We start from the raw sequence: 12200 nt of genomic DNA on the forward strand, positions 1-12200 counted from the left end.
TCTGGAACTCCTGACCTCAGGTAATCGCCCGCCTCGGCCTCCCAAAGTGCTGAGAGTACAGGCATGAGCCACCGCACCCAGCCGCATATTTAACTTTTTAAGGAACTGCCAAATGTTTTTCTAAAGTGGGTGCACCATTTTATACTCCTACCAACAATATATGAGAGTTCCAGTCACTCCACAGCCTCACCAGTCAGGGGCAGGGGTTGTTCTAATTCAACCATCACCAGAAAACTCTTTTCCTTCTTCTTCTTCTTTTTTTTTTTTTTTTTTTTTTTGAGACAGAGTCTCACTCCATCACCCAGGCTGGAGTGGCATTATCTCAGCTCACTGCAACTTCCTCCTCCCAGGATCAAGTGATTCTCGTGCCTCAGTCTCTTGCTAGCTAGGACTGAGAGGTGAAGCCAGCTGGACTTCCTGGGTCCAGTGGGGACTTGGAGGACTTTTCTGTCTTACAAGAGGATTGTAAAATGCACCAATCAGCGTTCTGTAAAAACACACCAATCAGCGCTCTGTAGCTAGCAAGAGGATTGCAAAATGCACCAATCAGAGCTCTGTAAAACGCATGAATCAGCACTCTGTAAAATGCGACAATCAGCAGGATCCTAAAAGTGGCCAATTGCAGGGAGGATTGAAAAAAGGGCACTCTGATAGGACAAAAACGGAAAATGGAAGGGGACAAATAAGGGAGTAAAAGCTGGCCACCGCAGCCAGCAGTGGCAACTCACTCGGGTCCCCTTCCATGGTGTGGAAGCTTTGTCCTTTCCCTCTTCACAATAAACCTTGCTACTGCTCACTCTTTGGGTCTGTCGCATCTTTAAGAGCTGTAATACTCACTGTGAAGGTCTGCTGCTTTGTTCTTGAAGTCAGCGAGACCACGAACCCAAGGGTAGGAACCATCTCCAGGCACAGGACTACAGGGATGTGCACCACCACACCTGGCTAATTTTTGTATTTTTAGTAGATAGTAGAGACGGGGTCTCGCCATGTTGGCCAGGCTGGTCTCGAACTCCTGACCTCAAGTGATCTGCCCACCTCGGCCTCCCAAAGTGCTGGGATTACAAGCATGAGCCACCAGGTGGTACCCAGTCCTCTTTTCCTTCTTCATGCCAACTTCCTTGTAAGATTTTTAAGACCTCAGCTGGGCACGGTGGCTCACGCCTGTAATCCCAACACTTTGACAGGCCGAGGTGAGTGAATCACCTGAGGTCAGGAGTTCGAGAGCAGCCTAACATGGTGAAACCCTGCCTCTACTAAAAATACAAAATTGGCCAGGTGTAGTGGCGCATGCCTGTAATCCCAGCTACTTGGGAGGCTGAGGCAGGAGGATCACTCAAACCTGGGAGGCGGAAGTTGCAGTGAGCTGAGATCGTGCCATTGCACTCCAGCCTAGGCAGCAAAAGCGAAACTTCGTCAAAGAAAAAACAAAAACAAAAACAAAAACAACAACAACAACAAAAAACCTCAGGCTGCTCTCTGTGAACTCTTTTTCAGTTTCTGGTAGGTTTTAAAGACAAATAACCTCCACCCAGAGAGGAATGAACCTGAATTAATTTGGATTTTTTACTAGGTTTAAAATAGACGGATTTTTTTTTTTTTTTGAGACAGGGTCTTGCTTTGTTGCCCAGACTGGTGTGTAGTGGCCTGATCATGTCTCACTGCAGCCTCGACTCCCCAGGCTCAAGCGATCCTCCCACCTCAGCCTCCTGAGTAGCTGGGACCACAGATGTGTGCCACCATGCCCAGCTAATTTTTTTACATTTTGGGGTTTTTTGTTGTTGTTTGTTTTGTTGGTTGGTTTTTTTTTTTTTTTTTTACAGAATCTCACTCCATTGCCCAAGCTGGAGTGCGCAGTGGCACGATCTCAGCTCACTGCAACCTCCGCCTCCCAGGTTCAAGCAATTCTCATGCCTTAGCCTCCCAAGTAGCTGGGATTATAGGTGCCCACCACCATTCCTGGGGAATTTTTGTAATTTTAGTAGAGATGGAGTTTCACCATGTTGACCAGGCTGGTCCTGAACTCTGACCTCAAGTGATCCACATGCCTCAGCCTCCCAAAGTGCTGGGATTACAGGCATGAGCTACCCACCAGGCCTAACTTTTTGTAGAGACGGGGTATCACTATGTTACCCAGGCTGGTCTCAAACTCCTGGACTCAAGCAATCCTCTGGCCTTGGCCTTGGCCTTGGCCTTCCAAAGTGTTGGGATTACAGGTGTGAGCCACTGTGCCAAGTCCAACTGATCAATTTCATTTCTAATGCCCTGAACAAACATTTAAGTGCTGTCTGTTCACATAGTCCAAGATTGGCTAGGTCTCTATATACTGCACCTCATCTGTTAACTAAATCCCATTTCAAGAAGCCCTTTTCAGGTTTATTAAATCTTTTGCAAGGGAGGAGTAGAAATTTCTGCTACCAACATGCTTAACTTTGCAAAGACCCTCTATGCCTTGCAGAATTTTGTAGGACAAAGAGGCTCTCGAATTTACCTAGCTCAGTGGATCTCAAACTCTGATGTGGTAAGAAGCAGCTGCAATTGGCAGATTAGTCAGACTCAGAGACTCTGTAGGTCTGGGCCCAGGAATTTTCTTTCTTTTTTTTTTTTTTTTTTTTTTTTGAGACGGAGTCTCACTCTGTCGCCCAGGCTGGAGTGCAGTGGTGAGATCTCGGCTCACTGCAACCTCCACCTCCCTGGTTCAAGCAATTCCGCTGCCTCAACCTCGCGAGTAGGTGGGTTTACAGGTGCATGCCACCACTCTTGGCTAATTTTTTTGTATTTTTAGTAGAGATAGGGTTTCACCATGTTGGCCAGGCTGGTCTCGAACTCCTGGCCTCAGGCAGTCTGCCCACCTTGGCCTCCCAAAATGCTGGGATTGGAGGCATGAGCCACCTTGCCGGACTAATTTTCATTTTTAATAAGCCTCCACCCGATTCTCATGTCAGTTGTCTGGAGATCTTAGACCACAATTTGGAAAAAAAACTGATTTATTCTAATCACTGGTCTCCAGTGAAAAACCAGTTTATGACAGGGCGGTTACAAATCACCACAACAAGCTGGGCATGGCGACTCACGCCTGTAATCCCAGCACTCTGGGAGGCTGAGGCAAGGGAGGATTGCTTGAGCCCAGGAGTTCCAGATCAACCTGGGCAACATGGCAAAACCCTGTGTCTACAAAAGTCATTAAAAATTTAGCCGAGCATTGTGCATACCTTTAGTTCTAGCTACTTGGGAGGCTGAGGCAGGAGGCTCACTTGAGTTCAAGGCTGCATTGAGCTATAATCGTACCACTGAACCCCAGCCTGGGTGAGAGAGCAAGACCCCATATCTAAAAATAATAAATAAAAATGAAAAACTACAACAGCAACAACAGCAAATGAATTTCTTTATTTTACTATTCTTGGAATCTGCTGCGCCCAGCTGCCTTGGAGGAAGGAAAAAAAAAAAACTGGCTGGGCGCGGTGGCTCACGCCTGTAATCCCAGCACTTTGGGAGGCCGAGGTGGGCGGATCGCGAGGTCAGGAGATCGAGACCAACCTGGCTAACACGGTGAAACCCCATCTCTACTAAAAATACAAAAAAAAATTAGCCGGGCGAGGTGGCGGGCACCTGTAGTCCCAGCTACTCAGGAGGCTGAGGCAGGAGAATGGCGTGAACCCGGGAGGCGGAGCCTGCAGTGAGCCGAGATCGCGCCACTGCACTCCAACCTGGGCGACAGCGAGACTCCGTCTCAAAAAAAAAAAAAAAAAAAAAAAAAACTTGTGGCACATTTAAAAATTTATTTGCAAGCCTTCTCCCATTGTACAGGCTCTTATTCTCAAGTGGTTTAAATTCACTGTTTTCTAAATATTATACAAGGATTAATTTCCAAAAGGTAGCTGTGTAGGTGCCAGAAATAGGGCCTGGTGCTGAGGGCACAGTGGAAGAGAAGAGACTGGGGTCGTACAGAAACCTTCTGGAATCTGGTCCTGCCTCGAGACTGATGCCCATGCATCTACCCCAAGACACTGCTCTGTCAAGCTTTCCATCTCAACAATGAATTATATACATATATATATAAATTTATTTAATAAATTATAAATATAAATATATTTATATTTATAAAAATAAATTATAAATATATATATAATTTTTTTTTTTAGATGGAGTTTCACTCTTGCTGCCCAGGCTGGAGTGCAATGATGTGATCTCAGTTCATTGCAGCCTCCACCTCCTGGGTTCACACAATCCTCCTACTTCAGCCTCCCGAATAGCTGGGATTGCAGGGGCCTGCCACCACTCACGGCTAATTTTTGTTGTTTTAGTAGAGACAGGGTTTCACCATGTTGGCCAGGCTGGTCTCAAACTCCTGACTTCAGGTGATCCACCTGCCTCGGCCTCCCAAAGTGCTGGGATTATAGGCGTGAGCCACTGGGCCCGGCATGAATTATATTTTTAACTCTCCTCTAGAATTTCTTCTCCAGGAAATACAATGATTTTAAATGTGATATAAGGCAAAGGTAAATCAGATATCTATGGTAAATTTTTCCTAACACATACTGTAATCCACTGAAAGCTCCCCGCTGTAATCAGATGGCAATATGCAGGAAAGCTCTGTATGTGCCATCCTCATTTGCCTAAGGCATGTTCATGCCTCAGAGTTTTAAAAATTATAATTGTCACCAGGCGTGGTGGCTCACACCTGTAATCTCAGCACTTTAGGGGGCTGAGGCGGGCAGATCACAAGATCAGGAGATCGAGACCATCCTGGCCAACATGGTGAAACCCTGTCTCTACTAAAAATACAAAAATTAGCTGGGCATGGTGGCGCGTGCTTGTAATCCCTGCTACTCGGGAGGCTGAGGCAGAAGAATCGCTTGAACCAGGGAGTCGGAGGTTGCAGTGAACGGAGATCACGCCATTCCACTCCAGCCTGGCGACAGAGCGAGACTCCATCTCAAAAAAAACAAATTATAATTGTTTATAAATTCATAAAATCATTTCTAAATATAAATAAATAAAAATTCCTTTAGTCTTTGAATGGAGTTTCTGTAGAAAGAGTTGAAGCATAATTGCTTTTTAACAGTGTTCAGTCATCATATCTGACTTAAAACATTTACCAGAAAGCAGAAAGAGGAGTGTAAATAACAGCATGTATATGTGATGTGCTATTGTTTCTTTGTGGAAATTTGGAAGATTCATTCTTTTTTTTTTTTTTTTTTTTTGAGATGGAGTCTCACTCTGTCGCCCAGGCTGGAGTGCAGTGGTGTGATCTCAGCTCACTGCAACCTCTGCCTGTCGGGTTCAAGCGATTCTCCTGCCTCAGCCTCCCGAGTAGCTGAGACCACAGGCGTGCGCCACTACGCCCGACTAATTCTTGTGTTTTTAGTAAAGACGGGGTTTCACCATGTTGACCAGGCTGGTCTCGAACTCCTGACCTCGTGATCCTCCCGCCTTGGCCTCCCAAAGTGCTGGGATTACAGGCATGAGCCACCGCACCCGGCCAGAAGATTCATTTTTGATTGTACCAATGGCTGAGAGTCCCCAGGTGATGTATCCAGTGATATCTGCAGTCACGATGCAGCTGCTCTATTGTTGTTAACAATGGAGTTGGCTCCATTTGCTTGTATTATTCTGCAGCAGAGCATAAAATATATTACATGATTATGCAGGTATCCCTCAAATAAAAGAATGCATGCATTCTAACCAAGTGTGCTGTAAATTTAGATTAAATGAATCTGACTTTCCCATTGACTTCTATTATAAAATCAGAAATTCATATTGCAGGGGTGGGAAAAATTGGTCCTTGGATGTATTACATTTATACTTAATAATGCAGCAGCGCCTGTAATGAGACATATTCCAAGGGAAAACAATAACTCTCTGATAAAATATTAACGATAATGCATTTGGACTGAATATAAGTCACATTATTTTAAAACCACTGCAACTAGAACTATAAAACAGTGCCAAATTCTTGAAGCCTGATTGATTGTCTGCTTCACATGTGGTTTCCAAGAGGCAATCAACTATTAAACTTCCAAAGTTTACCAGTCTTAAACAGCAAAATACTTCTAACTTTATGTCCAAAGGAATTGTTTTTTAACTTTTTTGCTCCATTCTGGGATGGGGAAAGGATATTAGTGTTCTGCCTTTGAAAATTTTATCTCATGACCGGGCGCGGTGGCTCACATCTGAGCCACCTGAGGTTGGGAGTTTGAGACCAACCTGACCAACATGGAGAAACCCCATCTCTACTAAATATACAAAAAATTAGCCAGGCGTGGTGACACGTGCCTATAGTCCCAGCTACTCAGGAGGCTGAGGCAGGAGAATCTCTTGAACCCGGGAGGTGGAGATTGCAGTGGGCTGAGATCACACCATTGCACTCCAGCCTGGGCAACAAGAGTGAAACTCCATCTCAAAAAAAAAAAAATTTTTTTTAATCTTGTGGCTGGAAAATAGGGGTGACCGAGATGCATTCACTTACTCATTCATTCATTCATGTGAACGTCTACTATGCCTCAGGCACTCTGCTATTTGCTGAGGTCAAGAAAATGACATGCAAAGTTTCTGCTTTCAGGGAGAACAACAGGAAAGCAATTATGCTATGGTGCTCAGAGTTAAGCACAAAATACTACTGCAGACCATACACAGGAAGTGCACTTAATACAGACCTCTGAAAAGTGATGTCAGATTTGAACATTTAATAGAAGACCTCAATCTGGTGGCCCTACAGCTGAATCCAGCCACTCATTTTCACTGAGTGTTTTTTTGTTTTCTTTTGTTTTTGTTTTTTGAAACGGAGTCTTTACTCTGTCACCCAGGCTGGAGTGCAGTGGCACAATCTCAGCTCACTGCAACCTCCAGCTCCCGGGTTCAAGCAATTCTCCTTCCTCAGCCTCCCAAGTAGCTGAGATTACAGGCGCCCACCAAGATGCCCAGCTAATTTTTGTATTTTTAGTAGGGACAGAGTTTAGCCACTTTGGCCAGGCTGCTCTCAAACTTCTGACCTCAGGTGATCCGCCTGCCTTGGCCTCCCAAGGTGCTGGGATTACAGGAATGAGCCACCACGCCTTGCCACTTTCAGTGAGTTTTATTTGACCTCCTTAGAGGAAAAAAAAAAAAAAAACCTAACATTTGTAAATTGAAAGATTTCACACACACACACACACACACACACACACGTTTTCTGGCTTTTCTTGAAAAACCAAATGATCTGACAATATTAGGCATGCATTCCCACATGGCAACATTTGGTAGAATTGAGTAGTGGCTGTCCCTTTTTAGAAAGGCTTAATGTTCACTAGCTCACAACAATCCCCACCACTACCTTTGTTGCCCCAACATTGGGAAGGATAATCAGTTGCCATTTATTATCACACTTGAATTGTTGTTTTTCTTGTAGTAGAGAACTCTTTCTCTGAACCTATGTCTCTATATGAAGTAGGAAAATGAAAAATAGATCCAGATAGTCACCTATTTCAAGAAAATGGGAGTGAGCACATTACTTCTATTTGGCCTTTGCTCATTACATTAGAGTCTGAAACCTGAAACTCTTGTTTTTTTTCTTTTCTTTTTTTTTGAGATGGAGCCTTGCTCTGTCGCCCAGGCTGGAGTGCAGTGGCACGATCTCAGCTCACTGCAACCTCCACCTCCCAGGTTCAAGCGATTCTCTTCCTCAGCCTCCCAAGTAGCTGGGATTACAGGTGTGTACCACCACGCCCAGTTAATTTTTGTATTTTTAGTAGAGGCGGGGTTTTGCCACATTGGCCGGGCTGGTCTCAAACTCCTGGCCTCAAGTGATCCTCCTGCCTCGACCTCCCAAAGTGCTGGGATTACAGGCATCAGCCACTGTGCCCGGCCTGAAACTCTTGTTGTAAGAACCAGTAGGAATTAGTCAAATGGAGAATGAGGGAAGGAGGTAGTAGGAGCATAGGGAATAGCATGTGCCAAATGGTGACTGTGTGGCCAATGCATAAGACTGCAGATGATTCAGCATGACTAGGGGGTGAGGGTGTCTCTGACGGAAAAGCAAGAGATGAACCAGAAAAAATGTCTAAGCCAGTCCTCTTCCAGCACAAAACTCGGTGACTAACAGCTCGGAGGGAGTGATTCCACACTAGCCCATGCCTACTTCTTCTTTCCAGACAGTGAACACCAAGGCAAGCCCATATTGTCTACTTGATTTGGGTTCTAAACAAGATTGCCAGATAAAATACAGAATGCTTAGTATTCTGAACCCATCCCCCAGGTTAAAGCACTTCTCCTGCCTCAGCCTCCCAAGCAGCTGGGATTACAGGTGCGCAATACCTCGCCTGGCTAATTTTTGTTTTTTTTGGTAGAGTCGGGGTTTCACCATGTTGGCCAGGCTTCAAAACCCTTTTAAATGAGGATGAGCTTGGTATTCTACAATAGAGTGATCCATTCTGCAGTGGAGTGAAAAAGCAAAGAGGGATGGGAAAAGAAGAATATTCATATGTAGCAATTGCTTCTATTTTTAAAAATAAATAATGAGGCATCATCAAAAACTAATTTTAACATAACTCACAGGGGAGGAAAGGGTAACGATGGAAGTAGATCTTTCTGAATAGATCTTGTTTCATAGATTTGACTTTGGAAACATGCAAATGATTTGCATAATTTTTAAAAATTAAATCAAGAAGAAAGAGAGGTACTCCCTATATATAAAAAATGGAACAAATGAATCTGATGAACCTGATTACCTCTGCCAGAATCACAGATAATTATTTTAAGTGTCTTTAAAACAGTGTTTTGTAAGCGGTACTTCTGGAATGGCAGAGTGAGGACCTCCACAAATCTGCACTTCCATAAAGGCAATGAAAACAAAAGCAAAAATTGTCAAAATCAACTTTTTTCAGAACTTTGGAAATTCATCAAAGGCTTACCACAATTTGAAGAGCATGCATTCAGAAAAACTACTAAACTCAGTAAGAATAATGAGTTTGTGAACATTTAAATTGTCATATTCCCATCTATCTCTCCTCAGCAGCAGCAGAACACCTCATCCAGCAACAGCAGAATGCACGTTCTTCTCAAGTGCACGTGGAACTTTCTATAAGGTAGACTATATGTTATGTAAGGTATATCATAATACAAATCTCAATACATTCAAATGAAGTGAAATCATACAAAGCATGTTCTCTAACTGCAAGGAAATGAAAAATAGAAATCAATAGCAGAAGAAACTTGAGAAATTCGCAAATATATGGAAATTAAACAACACATTCCTAAACAATCAATGAGCCAAAGAAGAAATCAGAAGGGAGGTTATAAAATACTTTTAGATTAATGAAGACTGGCCAGGCATGGTGGCTCACGCCTGTAATCCCAACACTTTGGGAGGCCGAGGCAGGCAGATCACCTGAGGTCAGGAGTTCGAGACCAGCCTGACCAACATGGCTAAACCTTATCTCTACTAAAAATACAAAAATTAGCCAGGCGTGCTGGCACGTGCCTGTAGTTCCAGCTACTCAGGAGGCTGAGGCAGGAGAATCACTTGAACCTGGGAGGTGGAGGCTGCAGTAAGTACTCCAGCCTGGGCAATAAGAGCAAAACTCCATCTCAAAAAAAAAAAAAAAAAAGAAAGAAAGAAAAGAAAAGGAGAGAGATACCAGTATAAAATTAAGGACAATGTAATCTTTTTATTTTTTTTGAGACAGAATTTCCCTCTGTCACTCAGTCACTCAGGCTGGAGTGCAGTGACACCATCTAGGTTCACTGAAACCTCTCACTGCCAGGTTCACACGATTCACATGCCTCAGCCTCTGAGTAGGTGGGACTACAGGCTCACACTACCATGCCCAGCTAATTTTTTGTAATTTTAGTAGAGACAGGGTTTCATCCTGTTGGCCTCAAACTCCTGACCTCAAGTGATCTGCCCACCTTGGCCTCCCAAAGTGCTGGGATTACAGGTGTGAGCCATCATGCCTGGCTGTAATCTTAAACTTTTATTGGAAATATCAATGTGAATTTTTTTTTTTTGAGACAGTCTCACTGTCACCCAGGCTGAAGTGCAGTGGCACGATTTCCACTCACTGTAACCTTCACCTCCGGGGCTCAAGTGATCCTCTTGACTCAGCCTCCTGAGTAGCTGGGACTACAGGCACAAGCGACCACATTCGGCTAATTTTGTTTATTTTTTGTAGAGACAAGGTCTCACTATGCTGTCCAGCCTGATCTCTTGAAGTCCTGGCCTCAAGAGATCTTCCCACCTTAGCCTCCCGAAGTGTTGGGATTACAGGCGTGAGCCACCATGCCTGGCCTAAACGTTTAATTTCTTTTTCTCTTTCTGAAAAATACACATTTCGCAGTTCTGTCCACTAAGAATGGAGTAGAAATCTTGAAAACCCAGTGCCCAGGCCAGGCACAGTGGTTCAAGACCAGCCTGGCCAACATGGTGAAACCCCGTTCTACTACAAATACAAAAATTAGCTGGGTGTGGTGGTAGGTGCCTGTAATCCCAGCTACTCAGGAGGCTGAGGCAGAGAATTGCTTGAACCCAGGGGGCAGAGTTTGCAGTGAGCCAAGATCGTGCCACTGCACTCCAGCCTGGGCAACAGAGCGAGACTCTGTCTCAAAAAAAAAAAAAAAAATCCAGTGCCCAGATTGTGATCTCTAAATCTACTTTTCACTGAAAGGAGCCAGGGGCCGGGCGCGGTGGCTCACGCCTGTAATCTCAGCACTTTGAAGGCCGAGGCAGGCGGATCACAAGGTGAAGTGATCGAGACCATCCTGGCCAACATGGCGCAACCCCCTCTACTAAAAATACAAAAAATTAGCCGGGTGTGGTGGCACACGCCTGTAGTCCCAGCTACTTGGGAGGGTGAGGCAGGAGACTCGCTTGAACCTGGGAAGCAGAGGTGGCAGTGAGCCGAGATCGCGCCACTGCACCCCAGCCTGGCAACAGAGTGAGACTCCGTCTCAAAAGGAAAAAAAAAAAGAAAAAACGGAGCCAGGGCTCCTTGAAGAAAGAGCTGATTTCAGTACTGGGGTAGGAAATGTTCAAGGTTAACCTGAACACTTTGTGTTATAGCAAAGGAAGCTATCAAAGACTACTGAGATCTTGTCAAAATGACACAGGAACCAACTTGAAGGCATTTCTCTTGACCAAACATGGAACAGTTTGAGCATCAAAAGAATAGTGAATATAAAGGGTTAAAACATCAACTATATAAAAATCCATGTGTCATATTTTATACCTCTAACTCTTTATTTTTGGCAAATTGTTACGGGATAATAACATCAATAAAATGTTAAACAGATCAGGCGCGGTGGCTCATGCCTATAATCCCAGCACTTTGGGAGGCGTAGGCGGGTGGATCACTTGAGGTCAGGAGTTTGAGACCAGCCTGGCCAATATGGTGAAAACCCATCTCTACTAAAAATACAAAAATTAGCCAGGTGTGGTGGTGGGTGCCTGTAATCCCAGCTACTCCGGAGGCTGAGGCAGGAGAATTGCTTGAACCCGGGAAGTGGAGGTTGCAGTGAGCCGAGATCGCACCACTGCACTCCAACCTGGGTGACAGAGTGAGACTCCGTCTCAGAGAAAAATAGATAAATAAATAAACAATAGAGGTATTAGTCGGCATAATTTCCTGTTACTGACTTTTGTGAAAATGCCTCTAATGTTTCCTCACTAAGGATGTGGTTGGCTGCATGTTTTCACCTATAAATGAGAGCTAAACATTGAATACGCATGGACATAAAGATTGCAACAATAGACACTGGGGACTACTAGAACAAGGAGGCAGGGAGGGGGGCAAATGTTGAAAAACTAACTATTGGGTACTGTGCTCACTATCTGGGTGACGGGATCAATCATATCCCAAAACACAGCATCACGCAATATACCTGTGTAACAAACCTGCGCGAGTGCCCCCGAATCTAAAATAAAAGGTGAAATTATATATAAAAAAAGACGCATGTGGTTGGCTTTAGGGCCATGTTAAGATGATATTCATATTTTTCTATTTTACTGTTATTGTTTCAAGAATGGTTGTTGAATTTTTCTCACTTACATTTTCATAATGAATCTCACTTGATTGTGTTGTAAAAAATATTTAAAAAATAGGCCGGGCACGGTGGTGGCTCACGTCTGTAATGCCAGCACTTTGGGAGGCCAAGGCGGGCGGATTACAAGGTCAGGAGATCGAGACCATCCTGGCAAACACAGTGAAACCCTGTCTCTACCAAAAATACAA

At 44.3% G+C, this 12200-nt stretch overlaps 1 annotated feature.

The window, feature by feature from the left end:
• Positions 30-195: a silencer, noted in NCBI's record as "fragment chrX:44637157-44637322 (GRCh37/hg19 assembly coordinates)". NCBI's record gives its function as "represses an EF-1alpha promoter that drives an FKBP-Casp9 reporter gene in an ReSE screen in phorbol 12-myristate 13-acetate-treated (for megakaryocytic differentiation) K562 erythroleukemia cells {active_cell/tissue: K562(+PMA)}" and the evidence as "EXISTENCE:reporter gene assay evidence [ECO:0000049][PMID:32094911]".

The sequence above is a fragment of the Homo sapiens genome, chromosome X (genome assembly GCF_000001405.40).
Source record: "Homo sapiens chromosome X, GRCh38.p14 Primary Assembly".
NCBI classification, from domain to species: domain Eukaryota; kingdom Metazoa; phylum Chordata; class Mammalia; order Primates; family Hominidae; genus Homo; species Homo sapiens.